We start from the raw sequence: 26641 nt of genomic DNA on the forward strand, positions 1-26641 counted from the left end.
AATTTTTTATTTTTTGTAGATACAGGGTCACACCATGATGCCCGGGTTGGTCTAGAACTCTGGGCTCACACGATCCTCCCACCTCAGTCTCCCAAAGTGCTGGGATTACAGGCGTGAGCCTCTACACCCAGCCAAGAAAGTGCTTTTTTTTTAAATGAAAATAATATTGTTTTTATATAATGCATTTAAAAAACTAATATGGATGTTTCTTGCTAATACAAATTTATCCCATATTTAAAGACTACATATTATTTTTCTTTTTCTTTCTTTCTTTTTTTTTTTTTTTTTAAGACGGAGTCTCTCTCTCTTGCCAGGCTGGAGTGCAATGGCGTGATCTCAGCTCATTGCAACCTCCGCCTCCTGGGTTCAGGCGATTCTCCTGCCTCAGCCTCCCGAGTAGCTGGGATTACAGGCGCCTGCCACCATGCCTGGCTAATTTTTGTATTTTTAGTAGAGACGGGATTTCACCATGTTGGCCAGGCTGGTCTCGAACTCCTGACCTCAGACGATCCACCTGCCTCAGCCTCCCAAAGTTCATTATAGGAGTGAGCCACCGCACCTGGCTATTTCTTTATATTAATTGTTGCAGATTATTGTTATATAAAACGATAAATTATGTAACCACTCATTCTTCCGTTCCTGGGTGTCCCCCACCCCTTGCAATATATAAAAACATATTGCATTGCACATTTCTGTAATGCCACACTGTAGACCCTTATGGACAATTCTATAGAATTTCAAGGTCAAAGGATATGCTCCTTTAAAAATGTCCCTTTTAAAAGATGATTGAATTGGCCAGGCATGGTGGCTCATGCCTGTAATCCCAGCACTTTGGGAGGCCGAGGCGGGTGGATCACCTGAGGTCGGGAGTTTGAGACCAGCCTGACCAACATGGAGAAACCCCATCTCTGCTAAAAATACAAAATTAGCCAGGCATGGTGGCGCATGCCTGTAATCCCAGCTACTCAGGAGGGGGGAGGCAGGAGAATCGCTTGAACTGGGGAGGCAGAGTTGTGGTGAGCCGAGATCGTGCCATCGCACTCCAGCCTGGACAACAAGAGTAAAACGTTGTCTCAAAAAAAAAAAAAAAAAAAAAAAGATAGAATTTACATCTCCAACCATGAGGGCCCTCATTAGCACAGAATGTTATTAATCTTTAAACTTTTTTTTGCCATTTTAAAAGCAAAATAAATACAAAAGAGTTAAAAAAAAATGGGGTTTCAGATCTGAGAATTCACAGGGCTTCAAAGTCTTCTAACCTGCAGACCCAGCGGTGGCCAGGATGCAATTTCTGGTCTTGTGGTTCAGCCTTCGTGGCCTCATTGTGGGGTTTCCCTGTACTTCCCCAGCCCTCCCTGAGGGCTTCTCTTTCTGCATCCCTCCTGTTCTTGTTGTATCCACAGTGCTTGGTGTTGACAGATGCTCAGGAGCGACCCCTTCTTGTGGAGGTGTGAATGAGAGCAAAGATGGGTGTCAGTGAGAGACTGCTTCTAGACTGGGCCTACAGCAGCCTTGCCTGTCTTCCTTGCCCAGTTCCCTTCCTCTGTTCTTGCTCAGAGGGAAGCTCCTTTGCTGGCTTGCTGTGGTCATCCTGGTCTGTCTGCATTAGCTGGGATCTCTTAGGCACCAAGAACTACTCCAATGTTGGTAGGAAGCACATTTCTTCACGGCAGAGTCACAGCCCTTCTCTGTCATTCTGCAGGCATCTCTGGCAGATCTTGCATTTAACAGGAATGGACAATGACAGGATTATAAAAGGCTGATAAGATTCCCTGCAGGGTGAGCTCTGCTGACCTGGCTACCCACCACAGGCTGCTTCCTTCTGTGTTGTAGTCAGCACCCTGCCTGGCCCATTCCTGTACCAAGGTGCTTAGAACAGACCTCTTTCGGGCCAGAACCATTTCTAGTGCAAGTTCTTGGTTTAATTGTGCTGTTTCCTTTAAAAATGATGTTCTCTATCTCTGGATTGATCTCTCAGACAGCCAGCCTCTGTTTTAAGTATGTGAAATGCAAATCATCAAAAGCAATTGCTGCTCTTTTTTCTGGGTCTACCTTGGGCCGCCTTGACTTCCTTCCTCTGGAATTGCTCTCCTGGTGGGTATATTCTCTCCAGCTGTTGGCAGACATAAGAAGTAGGAGCTCCAAGTAGGCTCCACTCTAAAACGTACCATCTTGATAAAAGCTATGAGTCTTGGGCATGGGTCTTATTAGTTGGGACAGTAGCTATCTCCCCCAGATGTTTTGTTCAATGGAAACATTTCAATGATAAAAATACCTTCAAACTCCCTTCTGAGAGCAGAGGCAATCAGTTAAGTAGCTCCTGCTGTGTAGCTGGAGCAAGCCACCACACCCATGGATTACATTTGGCAGCGTTTCTTTGGCCAGCTGCATGCCTCCCAGCAGATAAAAGGGCAGTGCGTAGAGAAGATGTTAGGGAAAGTGGTGGGGTGGAAGTAGGGAGGAGGTGAGCCTTGTGCAGCAGCTGAATTCCCAGGGTGAAGTTTGGGCCTTGCTGCCCCCAGTTTACTGTCCAGCTGCTGCTGCTGCTTGGGCCTGCAGTGCTGCGGGATGACTGGGATCTGGAAGGCGGCTCTGGTGATTTGTAGGATCAGAGGAAGGACAAAAGCTGGGTCAGGGTGGGTGTGGCTGCTGGGGGTAGTTTACTGATGAAGTGAATTGGACTTGGAGACTTGAATGCTAGTGCTCTGGGCCACTGGTGTCTGCCAATGACTTAGTCAAAACTGAGCAAATTTTATTACTAAAAAAAGAAATAATAGCGTTCTGGTGGCAAAGTATCCTACGAAACAAGAGCAGATGGTACCAAGTAAGTTCAACTGAAACGGAGGTCATTCATTTTGTGAATTATCTTCAGAGATCCGCTGGTCCAAGGACCATGGTTTTTTTTTTCTTTTTTTTGAGACGGAGTCTTGCCCTGTGGCTCAGGCTGGAGTGCAGTGGCGCGATCTCGGCTCACTGCAACCTCCACCTCCCGGGTTCAAGCGATTCTCCTGCCTCAGCCTCCCCAAGTAGCTGGGATTACAGGTGCTACCACCACGCCCGGCTAATTTTATGTACCTTTTGTAGAGACAGGGTTTCACCATGTTGGCCAGGCTGATCTCGAACTCCTGACCTCATGATCCACCCGCCTCAGCCTCCCAAAGTGCTGGGATTACAGGCGTGAGCCACCACGCCTGGCTGGACCGAGGTTTTTCTGCTGGTGCCTCAAGGGCTTTGTGGGGCCAAGAGTGGACTCCAGGCTCCACTCACCTAACTTCTCAAAAGGGATGAAAACTCGCTCATTTCTGGTGATGGAGTAGGGTCTGCTTTAGTTTTTCATTGCTGCTGCAACAAATGACCTTAAACTTGTGACTTGAAACAACCCAAATGTATCATCTTACAATTCTCACTGGGCTGGAATCAAGTGGAAGGCTGCCTTCCTTCAGGAAGCTCCAAGGGAGAATCCATCTCTTTTGTTTTTTTACAGCTTCTAGCGGCAGCCTGCATCACTCAGCTGGGGATACCATTCCTTCATCTTCAAATCCAGCTATGTGGTATCTCTCTCTGACCCTCCTTTCATCTTCACATCTCCCTTGGACCACAACTGGGAAAGGTTCTCTGCTTTTCAGGACCTTCGTGCCTACCTTGGGCACCTAGATTGTCCAGGATAATCTCTCCATCTCAAAGTCTTTAACTTGATCACCTCTGCAAAGTCCATTTTGCCATGTAAGATAACACATTCACAGGTTCTGGAGAATAGGACATGGACCATAGTTCTGGCTGCCACAAGGTCAGGTTTACCAGGCTTGCAGGGAGATAAGTGGCCGAAGCAGGTCCAAGGGTCAGGGCTTCAGCCCTTTCCTTTCTGCTGTTTGCTGTGCTGTTCGATGCCTGGCGGTGTGGTCTCCGTCTCAGGCTGCATCCTTCACTGCAGCTACTTTGTTCCTGGATGAGAGGCTGTGGACATGAGAACAGGAGTCATCCCTTCCCATGGGAAAAGGGCAGAAGTGCGGGGTGGGGGCAAGTGGTTGTGCTCTGAGAGCTTGACCTTGCTCTGGAATCCTTTATGGTGATTGTCAAACTAGCTTAAATGAAGTGGGTGGGGACATTCTCTTTCCTCCCCTCTCCCACTCCCCTGCTTAGTTAAATCAGGTAACCTTTTCCTATACTTCTTAGGGAGACCTCACGCTTGAAACTTGCCTCCATTCTGAGCTCCTCACCGCTTCCTGGCTCAATCTGTGTGTCTGTCTGTAATGCCTAGGAGCTGGATCTGTATGGCTGAGTTTGGATGCGTGTCCAGTTGGCTTGGGAGTGGAGAGGGGCACCATCACCTGGGTCTGTGGGTTGGAGGATGGTGACAGATGAATTTAATATGGGGTGCTTTGCTTTATTTAACAGACGTTACTGTGGAAACACTTGGTGCAAATCGAGTGTTTTGAGCGTGTTGTTTTAAAAGACTTTAAAATGATTTCAAACTTACAGAAAAGTTGTAAAAAAAAAATACAAAGAATTTCTATATAGCATTACCTAAATTCATTAATTATAAACATTTTGCCATACTTATCATTCTCTGTATTACATACTGTTTTCTCTGACCCATTTGAAAGTTGCACCATCATGCCCCTTTGCTGCTAAATACTTTAGAAAGTCTTTCCTAAGATCAAGGACATTCCTTTTCTTCTTTTTCTTTTTTGCTAGCCTGTCCTTGCTGGCAGACATTCCTTTCATAACCACTGTTCAATTAGTAAAACCAAGGCATGTAGTACTATTATCCAGTATGCAGTTCATATCCAAATTTTGCCACTTCACACAATAATGTCCTTTATAGTAATTCTTCTCCTGCCCTAGGATTCAATCCAGGATTACGCAGATTCTGTACTCAGTTGTCATGTCTCTTTAGTCTCTTTTAATCAGGAACAGTTCCTTTGTTTTTTTTTTTTTTTTTTTTTTTGCCATTCACAACATTGACATTTTAAAAAAATACAGGTTGGCTATTTGGTAGCTATTTTGGTTTGTGTGGTATTTTCTCACTATTAGATTTTCCACAATTCATCTATTTTTGTTGGGCATGCTCTATAAATTATGGTTTGCATCCTTCTCAGTCCATCACATCAGGAGGCACATGATGTCATTTTGCCTCATTACTGGAGACATTAGCTTCAATCCCTTGGTTAATGTAGTGTTGAATTTGCATAACATAATCTATCTGTTGTACAGGAGTTGAGCATTTAAAATCAGGAGTTTAAAGAGGGCATTGTCTTCTAAAGTTGTGTCTGGTTTGCAAGGTTTTTTTTTTTTTTTAATGTATATTGGATTTTCCTAAAGTGGGCATCCTTGTTCTTTGCAGGGTCTGCTCTTCGATACAGGTAGAAGGGCTAATGTTCACAGAGAGCTCATAGTGAGGAATAAATTGCCTGAGATTTGAACACACCGTTAATCTCTGCCCTTGTAGCAACTGTGAGATCCATCCCAGAGATAGAAGCATAAATGCAGTGTTCACAGTGGGTTCCCTTTGACTATATCTAACTATCCTGGTTGCCTTGGAGTTCCTAGGAGTGGAAAAACTAGATTAGGACATGGAAAAGTCTCCTCCTAGCACATTTGACAGTTCTGTCAATGCTGAAGATGATGGTCCAGGCTGCTGTCACTGCATTTTCTTCCTTGTGAATCTCTTCTCTTCTGTCGTTGACTTACTGGGTTGATTCCGTGTGGTCAACTTGCGTGATGTGTACATACCAGGCTAGTCAGACCTGCCCTGGCTGCTCATTCACCGATTATGAGATTCCTTGTAGACGTGATTCTGAGAACTCAGGAGGCCACCATGTAGGAAAGGTATGCTTCTTAGAGCTCTGGATGTTTTTAGTTTGATTATTGTCAGTATTATCTTGGGTCAGTGCTTCTCAAACTAATTCCAGTTTGTGAATCATTTTACAATTGAGTTGTTTACAAATGCCCAATTGTTGGGCATTTGACCTTGCTGACCCGCAGACCTATTGTTCCCACTTGTCATTATAGAAGCAAACACTTGCTGGGTGCGGTGGCTCATGCCTATAATCCAAGCACTTTTGGTGGCCGAGGTGGGAAGCTCACTTGAGCCCAGGAGTTCAAGACCAGCCTGGGCCACATAGGGAGATCCTGACCCTATAAAAAATAAAAACGACACTTTGGGAGGCTGAGGCAGGTGGATCATGGGGTCAGGAGATAGAAATACTACTAAAAATACAAAAAATTAGCCGGGCATGGTGGCAGGCGCCTGTAGTCCCAGCTACTTGGGAGGCTGAGGCAGGAGAATGGCATGAACCTGGGAGGCGGAGGTTGCAGTGAGCTGAGATCGCACCACTGCACTCCAGCCTGGGAAACAGAGTGAGAATCCGTCTCAAAAAATAAATAAATAAATAAATAAAATTGCCAGGCATGGTGGCACGTGCCTGTAGTCCCAACTACTCAGGAGGCTGAAGTGGGAGGATCACTTGAGCCCAGGAGAGAGAGGCTGTAGTGAGCTGTGATAGCACCACTGCACCTCCAGCCTGGGCAACAAAGCAAGACTCTGTCTCAAAAAAGAAGAAAAGGGAAAAAAAAGAAAACCACAAACACATGGTCACATGTAATCCACTTTAGGATTAATAGAGAAAATGGTACTTTGTAAAGTGAAATAGGATAATTGATCATACAAAAAAATAAAAGTACATTTAGGAACAACAGTGTGTCTTGACTGTCCTCCATAGTACAGTTATAAATCTGGGCAAACATGTAAAGGAGGAAGACACGGTCCCTGATCTGCCGAAGGAGTACAGATACTGGTGGGAGTAGAATGGGGACATCTTTTAAGCTGAAGAGGTCAGGAAAGGCTTAACCAAGCAGTGGGTCTGAGCTGAGCCTTGGAGACTGGAGTGAGGATGAGAATTGTTGGTAAGACAAGGGCAGTAATTATAGATTCACATTTTGTAATAAAAGTTCATCCTTGCAGACCACCAGCAGGATCCAGTGGGACTACACTGTGAGAATCACTGCAAAATGGCCAGAATTTATGTTTGTGGGAAAATCTGAGTAATTATTGAATGACTACCCAGCATTGCCAATTAAAACAAAACTTGGATGAGACCAGTCTTCCAATTCTGTCTGATGAAACATAAACGGAAAGCCTTTATAATGTAATATTACTGCCTGAGTGATTATTTTCAGAATACAATGATCAGCCAAATGGCTTCTAATTGATCTCAAAATATTTACTGAGCCTCTCAGTGTGATAATGTTCTGCTGAGTTGCTGATTTACCCCCAAAAGAAGACAGTAAGAATATGAGCATTCCAAGACTAATAAGATACACATGCCGTGAATGGTTAAATATATAAATATAGGCCAGGCGCAGTGGCTCACGCCTGTAATCGCAGCACTTTGGGAGGCCGAGGTGGGTGGATCACGAGGTCAGGAGTCCAAGACCAGCCTGGCCAATATGGTGAAACCCCGTCTCTACTAAAAATACAAAAATTAGCTGGGCATGGTGGTGCATGCCTGTAGTCGCAGCTACTTGGGAGGCTGAGGCAGGAGAATCACTTGAACCTGGCAGGGTGAGGTTGCAGTGAGTTGAGATTGTGCCGCTGCACTCCAGCCTGGGTGACAGAGCAAGACTCCGTCTCAAAAGCAAACAAAGAAAATATAAATATAGAATGCACAACTCCATGAATGACATGAAGGTATACACAGGGGTCCTCTTTTGCTCCTTTTCTTCACTTTTTCTAAAACAGTCCTTTGGTATCTTCAATGATTCATAATCTGTGAAAAACCAAACAGGTTACACAACAAACTCAGGTGCAACTTCTCAAACAGCCTAAGCACATGTGTCCCAAATAATTAAACAATTTATCTCAGAGGCACTTTTAAAAATAACGCTGTGCAACCATTCCCTTCTAAGAAACCTTCCCTGAAACTTTTCATATAAACCATTAGTAATTGGTGAACTGGTAATTTCTGGATCCTGACTTTATTTTTTAACACTCTCCTTCTCCCCTCCACCCTGCCCCCAAAGCACAAATACCTCATCCTGGTGGTTTCAAAGTAAAGTCTACAAATCTTCAGTTCTCCTCCCTTTAAGGGACAGAGCCTGATTCCCTTCCCCTTAGATGTGGGTTGGACTTAGAAGTGAATCACAGTGTATAGAATCAAGTGGAAAGGATGGCATGTGATCGCAGAGACCAAGTGACAAAAGGCACTGTGTCTTCTCCTTGTTCTCTCACGGATTGCTTCCTCTGAAAGAAGTCCGCTGCCATATTGTGAAGGTGCTTCAGCAGCTGATGGAGAGTCCCACAAAGTGGGAAACTGCATGTTGCCCATTGTCAACAGCCATGTGAGTACCCCATGTTGGAATGGGTCCTCAGCCCTGGCAAACCTTCAGATGATTGTAGCTCCTGCCCACATTCTGAGTCCAACTCAGTGAAAGAACCACCTAGTTATGCCGCTCTCAAATTCCTGACTCATGAAATCTGTGAGATTGTGTTTATGTGAAGGCATTGCATTCGGGGGTAATTTGTTATGCAGCACCTACAATAAGTAACAGACCTTAGATCTTCAGCAGTGATTTTAGCATATTCGTAGTGAGACTCAGTAGCACTGAGACATAATCCACAGGGATTTTACTATTATAAGCATTGTTTTGAGGCTTTTAAAGTGATAGCTAACATCATGCGATAGATATATTAACCACTTCCCTCCCCTGGTGTTTATTTTAAAGGGATTGTTACCACAATTAAATTGATTTATGGATTCATTTGTTTATGAATTTTTTAAAAATTATTTGTTCTGGCAGTTGTTAATGCTTGAACTTACTTATGGGGGTTATCTCTATGTGACTTGGGATACACGTTTGTCTCTATCCTCAGAGGAATTAGCTGTGGCAGTAGGGCCTTCAGCACATCCCAAAGACAGTTGGTTGGAAACATAAATATACTTGGGCATGTATTCCCAGAGATTGTGCTTGTGTCTAAATTGGAGTAAAAATTACAGGCAGCCTTAGGAAAATACATTTGGAGACATTCCGTCTTCCCCAAAAAGATGTTAATTATTTAATAACTCCTTATCTTACACCTTGGTATTAGCAGGAGCTTCTCGGTGTTGTGTGTGTTCTTACTTTTTAAAGACACAGCTATATGTCACTTGCTGTTCTACCTGTGGAATTTTTTTGCATGAGGAAGCTGCTTTGGCCAGGTATACATCACTTTTTCTACACAAGTCCTCTGTGTTTGATACAGAAATGCTAGGTAAATGTGCTAGTGCTAGAAATGCCAGAAATAATTTCCAGGTTCCAGCAAGATTGCTTTGGGGTCATTCCCACCTTTAACACTGAACCCCCCAAATCTGAGATAGGTCTCAGTCAATTTAGGAAGTTTATTTTGCCAAAGTTAAGGGTACACACCGTTGACATAGCCTTAGGAGATCCTGATGACATGGGCCCTGGGTGGTTGGAGCACAGCTTGGTTTTATACATTTTACAGAAACATAAGACTTCAAAATATGTAAGATGGTCAGGCGTGGTGGCTCACGCCTGTAATCCCAGCACTGTGGGAGGCCGAGGCAGGCAGATCACCTGAGGTCAGGAGTTTGAGACCAGCCTGGCCAACATGGCGAAACCCTGTCTCTACTAAAAATACAAAAATTAGCTGGGCATGGTGGCACATGCCTATAATCCCAGCTACTTGGGAGGCTGAGGCAGGAGAATCATGTTGCTTGAACCTGGGAGGTGGAGTTTGTGATGAGCCGAAATTGTGCCACTGCACTCCAGTCTGAGTGACAGAGCAAGACTCTGTCTCAAAAAAAAAAAATATATATATATATACACACACACACACACACACACACACACACACACACACACACACATTTATATAAGATGTACATTGGTACCTTCTGGAAAGGTGGGACAACTGGAAGTGGGTGGGGGCTTCCAGGTCAGAGGTAGATAAGAGACAAATGGTTGCATTATTTTGCATTTCTTATTAGCCCTTCCAAAGTGGGCAATCAGATATGCTCTTATCTCAGTGAGCACAGGGATGAGTTTGAGTTGTTTGTCCTTTGTCCACAAGGAAACTCCTTGTGAGGGAGGTAAGTAGATAGCTTTTTTTTCTTAGTAGCTATCTTTTTTTAGGAATAGAATGGGAGGCAGTTTTGCCCTAAGCAGCTCCCAGCTTGACTTTTCCCTTTGACTTAGTGATTGGGGGGTTCCAAAATTCATTTTCCTTTCACAACTCTTACAGTGTGGTAGTGCTTGAAGTTTCATAACAGTCAGAGCAGAATCTCACTGCTTGCTTCCTGCTGGAGAGAGGAATCTCTGTCCTTCAGTGGATGATGTTTTCTGTGGTCTTGTTCAGGAATTTACAAACTAGAGGAAGCCTTATCTCACCAAGGGAAAAAAAGACAAATAATTGGCCTCTGAGAATTGCGGCAGGGAGCAGGGAGTATTAGTGGGGGCGTCTTTTTCTCTCAATTTCTGGTATATACATATGTATTTTAATAATTACTAAATGTCTAACAGAATAAATTTATGAGTAAGCTAAGTTATTCAGATGTATTTTGATAACTTATTTATTATATAAATAATATATGCTATTATAGATAAATTAGAAGATTTAGTCCAGTAAAAGAAAATAAAAACTGGCCGGACGCGGTGGCTCACGCCTGTAATCCCAGCACTTTGGGAGGCTGAGGCGGGTGGATCATGAGGTCAGGAGATCAAGACCATCCTGGCTAATATGGTGATACTAGCCGGGTGCGGTGGCTGATGCCTATAATCCCAGCACTTTGGGACGCCAAGGCGGGTGGATCACGAGGTCAGGAGATCGAGACCATCCTGGCTAACACGGTGAAACCCCGTCTCTAATAAAAATACAAAAAAATTAGCTGGGCGTGGTTGGGAGTGCCTGTAATCTCAGCTACTCCAAGGCTGAGGTGAGAATTGCCTGAATCCGGGAGGCAGAAGTTGCAGTGAGCCGAGATGGCGCCCCTGGGCGACAGAGCGAGACTCTGTCTCAAAAAAAAAAAAAAAAAGAAAAAAAGAAAAAAAACTATTCCAATAATCCCAATGTCTAGAGATAGTCTGTTTTTAAAATAATGAATTTTGCCCTATGTCAGTTTCCTTTTGTGATTTTTTTTCAACGCATTTCCCCCCATAGATTCAGAATGTCCCAAACTGTGAAATTTATAAATTAAAATGTATAAGTAAGTTTTTATTTCCCATTCATTTATTCCAAATAATTGCCTTTTGTTATGGTAGAATTTGAGTAATCAAAGAATTCTACCATAACAGATTCCACAGAATTCCATAGCAGAAAAATCTTGGTAAATCCTTGTGTCTCTAATAGTCCTTGAAAGAGGATTTTCAATGCTGCTTTGGAAAAGTGGGGTAGCCCAGGACGTTCTGGCTACTCTTCCTGCTGTCACTGACATTTGAGGACTCGGAGAGTTGTTGTGGCCTTCCTGTTAGGGGTGGAAATATTGGAGGGATTGAAAATCTGGAACTCACTAATTGCATTTGTGTTCCCTCTGGCCTTCTTTGGGGGTGCTTGGTCGGATGTTCATGGTTCAGGGAGGGACAGATGAAGGGCGTAAATCATGATCTGGGAAGTCTGGTCCCTGAACAGCTGTCTGCCAGCTGCTTCACTGGAAACTGGGCAAGTACGAGTGAGCTTTCCTCTGATGGTCTGAAATTGCCAGAAACAGCAGAGCCATGCTCCAGGTGCTTGTTGCGGGAACTGAGTTCAAATCTTGCCTCTCCCACCTAATGGCACTGACTACAGGCCAGCTATGTTGAAGCTTCTGGGCCTCAGTTTCCTCACGTGTCAAACACTGGTGACATACCCACCCCTGTAGGTTTGTTGTGCGGTGGGTGTTAACAACATACATGCCTGGCTCATAATCACTCATAAGGCCCTGTCCTCCCCTTGCTGTTGTATCATTACAATTGAGTATAGGATGGGTTTGAGCAGGTTATTGTCAGGAGTGTCTATTCTAAGCTTTCGTTACAAAAGGTCCCCCAAATCCACTCAGCTTTCACGCTCTCCCACGTAGGAAGCTGGCCCAACACCATGGAGGTTCCCCCCCGCCGCTTTTTTTTTTGAGATGGAGTCTCACTCTGTTGACCAGGCTGGAGTGCAGGGGCACAATCTTGGCTCACTGTAGCTTCCGCCTCCCGGGTTCAAGCGATTCTCCTGCCTTAGCCTCCCGAGTAGCTGGGACCACAGGCACACACCACCATGCCTGGCTAGTTTTTGTATTTTTGGTAGAGACACGGTTTCACCATGTTTGCCAGGCTGGTCTCGATCTCCTGACCTCAGGTGATCCACCCACCTCGGCCTCCCAAAGTGCTGGGATTATAGGTGTGAGCCACCATGCCTGGCCGAGGTTGCCTCTTAGGTAAGTAAATAACAATCTCCTTGTCTCAGGGGAGGACACTGCTGATGAAGAGTTTTTTTTAGATCTGTCAAAATTATGGATACCACCCCCCTTTGTCTGGGTGATCCTAGGATTCTTTTATTTTCAAGAAGACAACTGGGAGGAAGCCATGCAGGAGACTGGCTGTGGTAGTTTTCATGTGAATTTTTATCTTCAGTGCTTTTCATGTCTTCAATTATCCAAGTACCCCAAGCCTGTGGTTTGCCTCAGTTTGGGTGGGCATAGCCAAGGGGGTTCCAGGGCCGTCCAGCCTTCACTCAAGGATGACTTTCCCTAGGCTGAGGGCAGTGGACCCTTGACAAAATTTAATTACCGTCTCTGCTTATGGCTGGACCTCAGCTGGCAGGGTCTCGGGGGCTTTAAACAAAAGCAGGAGCCTCTCCAGAAGTAGATTAGGGAGATTTGCATTCAGGCCAGGGATTTGTACATGGTGTTAATTCTCCTCCAGGCAGATATCTGCTTGGGAAAGGGCTGTGTGACCCTATTTAGAAAAATGGCTACACTTTGTTAACCTTTTTTCCCTTAAGAAGGAAAAATCATTAATGGCAGAAGTTCAGGCCCCAGAGGGGATTTTCTGGGTGATTCTTTGTTTCAAGAGTCATGTTTCCCCAGATGTGATTAAATTGTCCGTAACTTTTAACTCTTCCCTCCCCCGTGCTTTAGTTGAAAAATAAAATCTCTGTTCATATTTCTTGCATATCATAGGCTTATGTCTCTTTCCAGCTCTATAAGTCAAGGCTAAAGATTTTTTTTTTAAGAAAGAGGAAAAAAAAGACATTTATTTGAGAAGACATTTTTGTGTGTGCCCTGCTCCCACCATGCATTCATTCGGTGCTGGAAAGTGGTTAGGGGATTCTAAGCAGCCCCCTTGCTATAGCTGGACTGTGACGCTGTCCCTTACTGTCAGTCTGCTTGGCTCCTCCAGACCTGATGCAGATGCTGCCCGCTCCCCACACAGCCCTCCTTTTTCTCTGTTCCCGGAACACTGTTTGCTTCTGTTACTGAGAAGGCAATACTGGGTAAAGGAGAATGATGCACGATGTGGAGCTGGAAGACCCAGGCCCAAAGGCAGCTTTTACCACCTCCTAGCTGTGCTACCCTGGGCCCCTGAGCCTAGAGTTCCTTCACTGCACTTGCAATTGCACTGTGCAATGCCTTCTCAGTCTCCTGGCTAGAAAATGGAACTCCTGGAGGACAGGATGTTTTTCATCCTATTATTTCCAGTCATTTATCTAGTCATTCATTTCTTTATATAATGACCCTCCTAGGACCTAAGAATAGAGAGATGAACGCGATACATGTGGTAGGAATTGTAAGTTGCTGCTTCTTTTTGTTTTTGTTTTGAGTGATCCACTGATGGTTGAGAAAGCCTAGGATCTTTCTCCCCAGAGAGAATGCCACTAGAGAGGGGGCAGAACATGACCCTGCCTGTTGACCCCAACTGTGACACTTCTGAAACCAATCTTAGGAAAGCCTCTCATGGGAATGGCATTTCCAAGATTAGGGGTAAAGTGGGACCTCCCTGTTGAAAAGTTGTCCTGCCCTCTGTCAGCTAGACATGCCATAAGCAAGGGAAAGAATGACTTTTAATGACAGGGGTAGAAATTGGGAGCAAGAGGCTGAACACATGGAACAGAATTTTTTGAAGTGCCTTGTTAAATGGAAAGTAGATGTAGGAAAATTTGAAATGCTGGTATTTCAGATGGGCCCAGGCCTATCACCTATTATTCCACCTGGAGAGGGTAGACTTATATTACTCCTCCTTTTTCCAGAAGCAGTTTGTGTGTAAAAGCCCTAAAGGGCCACATTCCACTTGATCCCTTTTATTAACGAAATTGTACTTTGCAGCAAGGTGGGGTGTGGCCACAGAGCTCTTTAAAGATGGGAGCCTGGAGGCGGGAGGTTGGCTAATTGCATGTTGCCTTTTGGCTTCTTTCCAGTCTTTAATCATGGATGACCTCTTATCTGTAAGTTCTAGGCCAAAAAAAAAAAAACAAAAACCAAAAACAAAAAAACCTTCTGTTTATCTTCTTTGTGTGCTTTTTATGAAGCTAAACAGATGATGATCATGATCTAAGCACTAGCTTTGGAAGGCAATTGTAGTGGATGGAAAGGGTCAGGGTGGATTCTACGCCAGATGTCAGCCTGCAGAGGCTGTGATTCCAGGCTTCACTTGGTTGAAGTGACCAGTCTGGCCAGCTTTGCTAGGCCTCCTCTTTCTGACTCACTGTTCCCATGGATCTCTGGAAGCTGCTGGTTCTTACGTGTCTACGAAGAGAAGCAGCTTATTTCCTGGGGTGAGGCATGCCCAGAGAAGATTTACTTCTCAAAAGGCCTACTTGAATGTAGTTCACAAGCCTGGCTGTGCCTCAGCATCACCCGTACAGCTTAAAAAGAAATTACACGGAACCACATCTCCTAGAGTTTCCCTTTCAGATAAGGATTGGAATGTGTATTGTAAAAGAGCTCCACCCGTGACTAGGATGGGTGTCAGGACTCAAGACTGTCTACCTTCCTCACCCACACTTTGCAGAGAGTGGGCTGTGGCCCAGCAGCTTCCCGTCTTGGAGCTTATCAGGAATGCAGATGCCCAGATTCTACCAGGCTTCTTGCATCAGAACCCACTGTTTAAAGGATGGAGAAGCCCTGCTCCAATATGGCATGTGGTATGATCAGTGCCTGATTGTTCCCGGAAATGGAACATTGACCTTATGCATTGATGGCTGTGGTTTACCAATACCTATGCTCCTAAGAACTGGGCCAACATCTGCATAGATCCAATTTTTAAAAATTATAATGTGAATCGTCTCTGTTATGGATCGCGACCAACTTCTAAGTTGCTTTGCCTTCTATTGTCCATTATACACACATCAATGGCATTCATTTAAATATACTTAATTTGTAAAATGAGCTGTGTTCTGTAGGCAGATAGGAGTATTTGTGTTCTGCCTTTATTGCATGTACACAGGCAGAGCACAGGCCTCTGCTCCTGGTGATGGTAAGTAGTCTCCAGTCGTGCCTCCCTCCCCTCAGATGGAGGTAATTTCTTCCTCCTCTGGATTATACCTGTCCCTTACATGTGTGACTGTGATTGCACTTGCCCTGTGTGTTGGAATTTTTTGTTGACATTTCTGACACCCGTGGGAATGAGGCCCTTTTTATTCATAGCTGCATCCCCTGTGTCTAAGAGGGCATACTTAATACATAGCAGAGATTCAATAAATGTTCGCTGAGGGAGTGGATGAATGAGTGGGGCTGATGATTGAGAACTCCCAGTATATCCTACATATGGACTTGTGTTTTCTCCATTCCTTCCTCCCCAAAATATCTGGGGCAGCATGTGAGAGTCTCTTCATTTTCTATTGGAAATTGGAGTACTTGAATCCAGAAGTTTAAATCTATGAAGGTGAAATGCGGTTAGGCTAAGTGGATGGACCCTTAGTTAGATCCTCTCTGGGTGATTTGTTTCCCCAGTGGTACTTTCCTCTGCTCCTTCTGGAACTCCAGCAGTTGCTCCTTGCCCTCCAATGGCTGCAGGATGCCTGCTTCCTCTGTGTGGGAAGAATCCTATTTCCTAATCCAGCAGGCATTTTTGTTGGTAATTCTGAAAATCGTTTCTCAGGGCTCTTTCCTAAAGTTGTGGCCACCCAGCAGTGAGTTAGCCACAAATGGCTCAGTGATAGCAAAGGCCTAGTTGCAATATGATTTTTTCTCCCTGAGGATGGTTTTATGCTGAGAGATTCTACATTTGGTTTTAGTAGAACTTTAAGCAATTCATATTTGAGAAGATACATTTATAGCTCTAAATTTTTTTAAGAAGAATGATTTCCAGTGCTTGTCTGGTTCCTTTTTTCCATGGTGGGGTTTTGGCTGCTTTTATGTTATATAGCATTCTGGCTTCCCCGTGCTGCTGACCAAGCGTGGACAGTTTTTGGTTTGCTGTTTTAAAGCCAAGGAAAGGCCCATGCTTCCTGTCTTGAGAAATTTAAAGTATGGAATTTGGCCAGGTGTGGTGGCTCACACCTGTAATCTCAGCACTTTGGGAGGCCAGGGTGGGCAGATCGCTTGAGCTCAGGAGTTCGAGAGCAGCCTGGGTAACATGTTGAAACTTTTGGTACGAAAAGTACAAAAATTAGCCGTGATCATGCCACTGCACTCCAGCCTGGGTGACAGCGTGAGACCCTGCCTCAAAAAAAAAAAAAAAAAAAAAGAAAAAAAAGTCTGGAATTTTATACCTGTTAAAAATATAAATAAGAATTAGATTTTTAAATTCTGAAGTAAATAACCTGGTTCTTCTTACTTAACCTGAATTTGCTAAGTATCTCTTCATGATTCTGAATGGTTAGATCCTGCCAAGGCTGACCCTAAACATTTGTATAGTTTTAGTATTCGATCCTTGAGTAGTCACTGGTCAGTTCCCCAAGGGTTGACTTGCCTGTTGTTGTTTTACTGGCTACTTGGAATCTGCCTGGAAGGCCTCCTGAGGAGTTTGTTGGAATTATGCATATACAGTAATCAGAGTTCTGAGTGTAGGCAAAAGTATCTGGATTTCCTAGAAAGTGAGGGGCTGCTGGACAGTCTCTTCATTTGCCAAGGGATATTTTAAAATAACATGCTTCTGTATCGGTGGCTGTGTTCTAGAGAGCTGGGGTCACCGTAAGTCTGATGATATCCCAGTGTCTGTCACAGGAAAGTGAGGTACATCCACGTATCTACTGACCCCCAGTATCTGGTGGGATATCTTTCCCACAAAATTTGCTTCTTAGGAGGGTTTTTTTTTTCCTTATAGTTCTTTTCATATATAAATACTAATCAGTCACCAATTCATTACATTTTAGGAACAGGAGAGTCTGTGAATGACATGAAAAATTATTAAAAGGAATTTGGCGAAACTATTAAAGGAATTTACCCACTCTAAAGAGAGCTGTACAGGGGTTATTGTTCTTGTTAAACAGAGTAGAGGTCAGTTAGTGGAATGTGGAGAGTTTAAAGTCATTGCTGACTTAATGACTAGTGAAAGACCAAGAAGATATGGTCTTTGCCACTGTACTTCTTAATGACAGAATCAAAGACTTACTGTGTGGACTTTATGGAAGTCTCTAGGAGTAAACTTGATGACAGAATTTTTTTTTTCTAGGCCATGTTTATATTTTCAATCTGTTCTTTCTGCTACCTGGGACATTATTTTTATTTATTACAAAACATTGACTAGAGGGGCTCACGCCTATAATCCCAGCACTTTGGGAGGCTGAGGTGGGAACATCACTTGAGCTCAGGAGTCCAAGATCAGCCTGGGCAACATGGCAAAACCCCGTGTCTACCAAAAAATACGAAAATTAGCCAGGCGTGGTGGTGCTCACCTGTAGTCCCAGCTACTCGGGAGACTGAGGTGGGAGGATCGCTAGAGCCCAGGAGGCAGAGGTTGAGGTGAGCTGAGATTGCACTACTGCACTTCAGCCTGGGTTACACAGTGTCTCCAAAAAAATAAAATAAATAGAGAAATGGCCTGGATATGGCTTGAAACCAAGCCTCTTTTAAGCAAACGTATTTTAAAACTGAGGGGAAAGGAGACAGGGCCAACATGCCAACTGATGAATGTAGTTTGCCCCACTTTACCAGTCCTTAAATTAGCAAGGTTTCTCTTCTTTGTTTTTGAGACGGAGTTTTGCTCTTGTTGCCCAGGCTGGAGTGCGATGGCATGATCTTGGCTCACCGCAACCTCCACCTCCTGGGTTCAAGCAATTCTCCTGCCTCAGCCTCCCGAGAGTAGCTGAGATTACAGGCATGTTCCACCATGCCCGGTTAATTTTGTATTTTTAGTAGAGACGGAGTTTCTCCATGTAGGTCAGGCTAGTCTCGAACTCCCGACCTCAGGTGATCTGCCCGCCTGGACTTCCCAAAGTGGTGGGATTACAGGCATAAGCCACCGCTCCTGGCTGCAAAGTTTCAAAGTTTCTTTAAAAACAAGCAAAGAAACAAACAAACAAACAAAAAAAACAGTCAAAATTACAATTCAGGTGAGGGAGGAGGAGTGAAGGTCCAAAACAGATGGTGGGCGTTGGTGGTTTTCTCTTGTTTAAAATGAATGTAGGCCAGGCGCAGTGGCTCAAACCTGTAATCTCAGCACTGTGGGAGGCCAAGGCGGGCAGATCACCTGAGGTCAGGAGTTCACGACCAGCCTCGCCAACACAGTGAAACCCGGTCTTTACTAAAAAATACAAAAATTAGACAGGTGTGGTGGCGCATGCCTGTAGTCCCAGCTACTCAGGAGGCTGAGGCAGGAGAATTGCTTGAACCCAGGAGATGGAGGTTGCAGTGAGCTGGGATTGCACCATTGCTCTCCAGCCTGGGTGACAAGAATGAGACTCCATCTCAAAAAATAAATAAATAAATAAAATGAATGCAGCAGGGCTTTCTGGCCCAAATTGCTCTACAGAACTTTGATTGCTAGGGAACAAATATTCATTGTCTCCAGTGTGCTCAGTACATAGGCATTGTGACTGGCCTCCATACTGCAAAACAAGAAGACACCTTTGCAGTGGATTAGAATGTTTAAACTAAGTTCCAGATGGGTCAGGCAGAGTCTAACTGGCCTTTGGACCCTTGGTGTCTAGACAAAGCCAGGCTTATAGTAGGCAAATGTAAATGGAGGCAAGGGAAGAAAGATTTCATTAAGCAGAATTATCTGAGAAATGGCTGAGAAAAGACCCGAATATCTGCTATGGCAATCTCAAGTGACATCAATGCCCACTTGGAGTTGGGCACAATGTGAAATTCCTTCTTGAGGGAGCGCTGTTGGGAAAGGAATTTTTGCCTCAATTGGGCAACTTTTTCCTGCTATTTAATATGCATACTCTTCTTGAGCAGTTAAAGACGCAGAAGAAAGATAGTATTGTTTCAAGACAATTCTCCCAGGCTGCTCTTGGCCATCTTTTCTGAGTGTGCAGGCCCCACCACAGTCCCTGCAGCAACACAGTTTTGTTTGCTTAAAATTTGGTAACCTAAGGGGGCTTGAAGTCCCGCCAGGGCACTTCTGGTCCTCACAAATAGTGCCACTGAAAAACGCATCTTGTGCAAGTTTCAGAGCTTAGAAATATTCTGCTTAAATGTGCAATGCGCCATGGGGCATGTTATAGACCATCTCATTGAGCAAAAGATAAATGACCTTTCTCAGAAGGCTGAAGGAGCTTGGGACAGGTAAGCCTCCCTCTGTTCATTGTTTAAAAAAAGGAGGAACTTTTATCTCTACTTCTTGCTTCTACTTGGCCAAAAGAAGTGGATTGGGTCATCTTTTGGCATCAGGGCTATGCAAGTCCCTTTTGTTCCTATTTCTCCTGAGCAGGCCACATGTGTCTCTCTTTGCCTGAATTTCTCAAGCCTCCAGCTGAGGCCAAGGGCAGGGCTGGGGTGGACACTCATGACTGGCCATTGAGAACCCCCATCAATTTCATCCTTGATAGACTTGTACCAAAAGAGCGACCCTCCCACAAGGTTGCTGGATACACTTAGTTGTTTGGTTGGCTCTCAGAAAATGAAGCTTGCACTCACACTGCCCCGGGAAAACGTTAATTCCTGGTTAGGGCTTTTCATGATTCTGTCACACTTTGAATAGTAAGACCACTTGCTGTGGTGCAGAATATCTGGATTTCAGAAGTGGCTGACAAATATTTTTTGGAAAGGAATAGTCACAATTAGAGGGACCCATCCACACTGATGTGACAGAACCTTTGGATGTTGTTTTTTGTTTAATTGGACATAGTTATATCAACAGGATTTGAAGGTGGCAGATGATTGCATGCTCTGACTAATGAAGGCTCACTGGGCTTTTCATGTTTTTTATTTAATTTTAAGTATCTATTTTGAATAATCATGTAAGCCTTATGCCTGATTTTTGAGATGATTATTTCCAAGGTAGGGAACTTAGTGAATGGGCATCATTTCCATGGAGGGTCAAATACCAAGATACTAGCTGAAAGCCAATTAAGATATAGTTTGGGCACCTTGGTATCAGTGGGTTGGATACCACTGCATGTGATATGGCTTTGTGACCTTCCTCGCTCTCTTTGTCCTAAGCCTATGATGGGCCTTATAGGAGAACTAGTCACAGGTGGCTCTACCTTTAAGAATATGCCTGTGTAATGCATGGATGATTGGAAGGCATTGCCACAAGTTTCTTCAGCTGAAGGAAGCTTTACGGAGTTGTGGGGCTTATTCTCCTTGACATGCTGCTGCTCCTTTTGTGTTTTCATTTTAAAACAAAATATGTATTGTTTTTCTAGGGAAAGGCACAGTAGCTTGAATTTACTATATTTGACAGCTTTTCTCAAATGCTTTCAAAACATGGAGTTGCTAGAAAACAAAGGTTTGAACTGCTGACTTCTTCTTGTGAGAATATTAGTTTAGTTTTGGAGTTTTAAAATTTCTAAGGAGGAAGAATGTCTTTGTGACATATAGGACAAGCACTGGGAGGGGAGTCAGCCAGGGTGTCAAGCCTGTGCAGCTGCCTGGTGCCTGACCTGGGACAGATTGCTCTAGGCTGCAGGCATGGGGGTTTATTGCCGAGGCACTGGGCCTGGTGATACGAGGGGTCTAAGTGGTGAGTTTCAGACAGAAATCATCTGTACTCTTGATTCCAAAGCTGGTAATCATGACTGTATTGATCCATAAAGACTCATGATGTATCATCTGTGCTTGGCTTCTGGCCTGGCTAGGGGAGAGGAGACGGGGCGTCATCTGGTTCTGCATCTGGATTTGGAGATGGAATTTGAAAACACACAGGCAGGTTATGAGAACTGCCACTTGTAAGAATGCAAGTGAGTGTGAGATAGAAAGGCCCGGTGATAGATGGTCTTGGGCTTCTCTGTTTTCCTATCACCTGTGTCTCCCTTCCTTGCTCTTGTACTGTTTGGTAACAACTTTGAGGTGAGTCCTTTCCTTTTGGCTGTTAAAGAGCCCAGAGGTGGGTTGGAGGAAAACAGCTTTGTGAAGCCTGCAAGAGTTGACTTCACAGTTCCGTTTGCTGCGTTTTCAAATACTGCTTTATTAGCCACCCCCTCTTCCAAGGCCAGGTGATTTGTGCCTTATGGCCTGGCCACTCTGAGTCATAGTGCCTATGTTTGTGTGGCCAGATTGCAGACTCTGCTACAACAGCGTCAACAAGTTCCCTTTATAGCCATTAAAATATATGTACATCTATTATTCTTTATTATAAAAGTAATATGTGTTCATGGTAGATAATCTGTAAATATAGAAAAATAAAAAAATAATAAAAGTCACTTACTCAGTGAAACCAATGCACCTACCCTCCTAGGAAGTGGCCATCAGTCCTGTGTCACCAGCACTAAGATCTGAACTAACCACGTGCAGATACCTGGGATCAGTAGGATTTCTTCACATCTTTGTGTGTGCTGTGTAATTATTCTACCCTGAGCTCGAATCCTCCACTTCAACTTTTAGCACTGATTTCTCCGCTTAACCCATGTGTGCTTTATACACAGAGAGACTTCTTAAGTGATTAGTGGTTCAGTCACTGCCACAGTCTATTAAAGCTTCTTAGGGAAGTGATTTTCTTTCTGTGGTGTGAAAAGGAAATAACAATGTCTGTCTTGCTCTTTAACCTGTCTCTTCTTGGAAATTCCCAGGCATCTTGGAAGCCATGTGTCTGCCCTTGGCTGTGCTCTGTGGACCTCCTGCAGTATGCTTGCCCCATTTCCTCTCTTGGCTCTTTGCCAGCTTGTGGCCTTTCTAGAAGGATATTGTCCTGTTGTGAATTTTCATCATCTTTATTGGTTTCTTCTCATTCCTCTCCGTTCTGTGAGCTTGTCAGAGAACCTGGAAGCCTCACTTAGCTTCTGGGAGCAGGTCCTGGAGCTGGGCTCACACCCCTTCCCCAGTTGTTTTTCTCTCTCCTGCCAGCCTCCCTTTGATTCTTAGTTTTCAGTGAACTGTACAGTATCAAAGACCCTGGAATCTCACGTAGAAAAAAGAGTACCGGGATTTGGGCGCCACATCTGCCTGTTTTTTCATCTGTGCTTTTTTGAGCCTTTTAAAAAAATCAGTGGCATCAGTTGCATGTAAGGTTCATGAAAGAACTGTGTAAAATTGTAAATTATTTTGCAGAGATTTGCTGTTTTCCAGCAACTCCTCCCTTCTTGACACACAGGTAGTAGCTCTAGATTTTGTTGTTGTTCTTGTTGAACTCTGATAGGTCTCTCAAATAAAAGGAAACAGATACCGTTTTTATAGATTAGAAGACAACATTGTTAAGATGTCATCTCACCAAATTGATCTATAGGTCCATTGCATTCTCATTCAGAATCCCAGAAGGGGGTGTATGTGTTTGTTTTAATAAATCAACAAGCTGATTCTAAAATTTACATGGAAATGCAAAGGGCTCAGAGTAGCCAAGTTAGTTTTGGAAAAGAACATAGTTGGAGGGCTTACACTACCTGATTTCAAGGTATACGTCAAAGCTATAGAAAGCAAGACAGTGAGGTATTCGTGTAAAAGCAGCCATATTAGATGGATGGAACAGAATAGAGTCCAGAAATAGACCCACACATGTATGATCAATGGATTTTCATCAAAGGGGCCACTGTAATTCAATGGAGAATGGATGGGCTTTTCAACAAGTGATGCTGAAACAGTTGGGTATCCATATGGAAAAAAGTGAACCTTGATCCTTAGGTTACACCACATACAAAAATTATCTTGAAATGGATCGTAGACTTTAAGTAAAACTTCCAGTAGTTCCATTAGGCTATTTATTTATTGTTGTCAGTGCAAGGGAGGAGCCAGAGTGCTAAGTGCTGAGAGGGTAACAGGAAGAAAGGGTAACAGAAAGTAGTTGGTGGGGTGTGTGTGTGTGTGTGTGTGTGTGTGTGAGAGAGAGAGAGAGAGAGAGAGAGGGAGACTCTGGGCCATTCTAAACTCTGCCCCACTGCTCACTTTTTTGTTGGGTAATAACATTAAAAAACAGAAACATGTTTTTGTTGTTGTTGTTGTTGTTTTGAGACGGAGTCTCACTCTGTTCCCCAGGCTGGAGTGTAGTGGCGCGATCTCAGCTCACTGCAACCTCCGCTTCCCAGGTTCAAGCGATTCTCCTGCCTCAGCTTCCCGAGTAGCTGGGATTACAGGCGCCTGCCACTATGCCCAGCTAATTTTTTTGTATTTTTAGTAGAGACGGGGTTTCACCATGTTGGCCAGGCCAGTCTCGAACTCCTGACCTTGTGATCCGCCCACCTCGGCCTCCCAAAGTGCTGGGATTACAGGCGTGAGCCACTGTGCTCGGCCAAAAACATGTTTCTTACTGGTACCTTCAGAGGATAATTTTTGGTTCTCCCACCTTGCCCTCCTCTTCCTCTTATTTTGCAAGCAAATCTTACTTTAGCTTACACACTGTGCTGATGAAGAGTTGTCTTAAATCTGGCTTACATTGATTTAAACCTATTTTAAAATGTGCTAGGAAATCCTGGCATCATGTTAGTAAGCAAGGAATCCTTCTATTTAGCCAGTGTTCTTCCAGAGTTCCTGTCCTGAGTTTCTGCCCACTGGAGCCCACCTGCCCTCTAATTGGGGTCTGCAGGCGTACATCCTTGCACAACTCTGTAATTTATCTGGTAGCCTCAGGCTGGAGTGTTTCCTGGACTTCTCAGAACTACAACGTTGGCTCTGTCTTACGCACAAATATGTTAGGTAAAATTTCAAGTCAATCTCCCTCTTCCCTGTGCTTGGTTAAGAATTGATTTGTGACATCTGTAGGGAGCAAATTAAGGAATTTACAACTGGTACATGAGGAAGGTGGAAGGAAGTTCTCCCTAAACTTAATCTGTAACATAGTTTTTGACCTTGTCTGCCTCTATGATGGGGGGCGGACGGGGAAGGGGAAGGGGAGTGTCTGCCTCTTTGGGTAGCCTGAACTTACATTAGCCAAATGTCATTGAACCTCCATGACTTGAGGCTAGTTACGTGATGGCTGAGTCAATGCCAGGTCTAAGATCATTCTTTCCTTTATTCTATTTATGGAACTAATATCAAGAGAGCATTTACTTTTTGGCAGGCATTGTTCTAGACGCGGGGAAAACAATTTTGAATAAGACTCATAAAGATCTGGCCCGAATGGAGCCTATATTCTGGGAGTACAAGTTTCCTGTTAATTTTTCTCTCATGTCTTTCTTTAAAAGCCCAGCACAAATCTAGGAAACTGTGATATCTCCAGGAAGAAGGGACCTCTCTGTCCTCTGAAATCATTTGTGTGTTGCAGGTTCCAAGAGTGTGGCAGTGGTTATAGCACATTATCTAGTGGCTGCTGGTATGAGGGTTTAGGCTACCCTCTGGGAAACTGGACTGGGTCAGACCTTTTTTGGGTGTGATGAGGGGCAGAGAGTGAGGAGACTCTGCTATGGTGCCTTCCAAACAGGAAATGTTCAGCAAATATTTATTGAGCAAATGCATATCTGCATGAGGTAGTCACATGGGTGGTATTACAAACACCAGACTGGATTCCAGCTCTTCAGATTAACATTTGGAATTCCTAGGAACTGTGCTGAACCTGGCAAAGATGAGAGCCCTCCTGCCAGGAGATCCTTTAGTTTGTTTCTGGAGCATTCCCAACATGAAAGCTCTCCCATGGAGGTTGGGGGAGTTTTAAATTGCCAGTGTGTTTGAAACAAGCAACATTGTCTTCTGACCTTTCCCTAGGGTCTTGCATACTTTGATATGGCAGAAGCAGGCGTTGCTCTGAAGTTATAAATAACTAAGCAACTTGAGAGTTACACTCTAGGGCCCCAAGTTAAAACAGCTGATTCCACTCTTGTTGTAGAGCAGGAAACTATCTTTTCAAAATCATGTGTGAGCAGCATGGCATTCAAACGGGATATTAATCTTCCTAGAAATTTTACCAGGAAAGCAGAATGCTTCCTTTTCCTCCACCCTTATTTTTATTTTTTATTTTTGCTTATGTGTATCTGTCATTTCAGCATATGTGAAGTGAATGACAAGATATTTGTTGTTTTTACTGGTGACAGATGATAAATATCTTCATTTCTTTTTAGCTTAAAAACACTTGCTGAACTTTGGTCAGCTGATATAAGGATTAGAAATAATTTTAAGATTATTTAATCTCGTTTTCCCCCAAAGAATTGATCCAGAAATTGGTATAAAGTCAGAAGGAGAAAAAGAAGGATGAGTTTCTAAGATAAATGTGCTCAGATAATTGCTTTTTATTAAAAGATACTGTTCTTTTTACTTCTTAGGTGTTGAAATGTCTGTTTTTAATGAGATCGTGCTTCGAGGTTGGTTTCTCAAGACGAAGTTATCAGTCAGCACAATTTGGGAAAGGTGGGGGTATTCTGCTATGGAATACCAAAGTCTGGTAACTGGTCATCTCATTGAGACCCCCGTGTGATGCTTGAGTTGCCCACCTCCCGCAACCGAGTCCCCATCAAGTAGGGATGTTTATACAGTGAGTCCCTTGCCCTAAGGCTGGTCCTTCTTTGGGCAGCTTTGACTGAGTTTGGAGAATAATTGCTATTCTGTGGAAATTTCATAATCATAACCCAGGCAAGTGCCTGGGAGGCAGAGCACAGGTGGGTGGGGGTAAAATGCAGAGTGGGCTTTGGATATCAACTCTGTGATTTCTGTGGCCAAAGCAGAAATGCCCATGAGCTTGAGTTAGTGCAGTGAGTTAATTGCATGGTAATTAAATGCTAACATGATTGATCAGAGGAACTGTGTAATTGAAGCATAGTAAAATGTGGCATGCTTAGTAAGCAATTGAGTTGTCTTCCCAAGGATGTAGGCAGTACTGGGCAGAAGCACAGATGTCTTGAACAAGCTGTGCAGTGCACAGTTTTGCCCTTTTGTCTTCTGAGGAAGATGTATGGGACTCTAAGGAGTGAAATCCCACATTCCGTACCTGAGAACGAGATTCATAACTGTATGTGAGATATTCTTTATTTTGTAGTACTTTGCATACTTTTTGGTATATAGAATATTTACTTGTTATCATTGGTGAAATTTCAAGGTTTTTTTTTGTTTATGGGTTTTTGGGCTTTTCTGTATGTATTCTGGAATCACCAAGAGGCTTCCATATTGAATTTTCTACAGTAGCTCTCTGAATAAGCCTTAATTGATATATTTGGTAGAGATGAATGAAGATACCATTTAATCGTGGTGGTAAATTTAAATATATGATGTTTCCTTCT

At 43.8% G+C, this 26641-nt stretch overlaps 1 protein-coding gene across 2 annotated transcripts in view, besides 3 other annotated features; it reads left to right on the forward strand.

The window, feature by feature from the left end:
• TLN2 (talin 2) overlaps positions 1-26641 on the forward strand; it is a 454082-nt gene that overhangs the window by 90978 nt on the left and 336463 nt on the right. The window lies entirely within an intron of this gene.
• Positions 24723-25017: an enhancer, noted in NCBI's record as "tiled region #10240; HepG2 Activating DNase matched - State 5:Enh". NCBI's record gives its function as "activates a minimal TATA promoter and a strong SV40 promoter by Sharpr-MPRA in HepG2 cells {active_cell/tissue: HepG2}" and the evidence as "EXISTENCE:reporter gene assay evidence [ECO:0000049][PMID:27701403]".
• Positions 24723-25314: a biological region, named in NCBI's record as "Sharpr-MPRA regulatory region 10240".
• Positions 24784-25314: an enhancer, noted in NCBI's record as "OCT4-NANOG-H3K4me1 hESC enhancer chr15:62798510-62799040 (GRCh37/hg19 assembly coordinates)". NCBI's record gives its function as "activates a minimal SCP1, AML or CMV promoter by ChIP-STARR-seq in naive H9 embryonic stem cells {active_cell/tissue: H9 hESC(naive)}" and the evidence as "EXISTENCE:reporter gene assay evidence [ECO:0000049][PMID:30033119]".

The sequence above is a fragment of the Homo sapiens genome, chromosome 15, assembly GCF_000001405.40.
Source record: "Homo sapiens chromosome 15, GRCh38.p14 Primary Assembly".
NCBI classification, from domain to species: domain Eukaryota; kingdom Metazoa; phylum Chordata; class Mammalia; order Primates; family Hominidae; genus Homo; species Homo sapiens.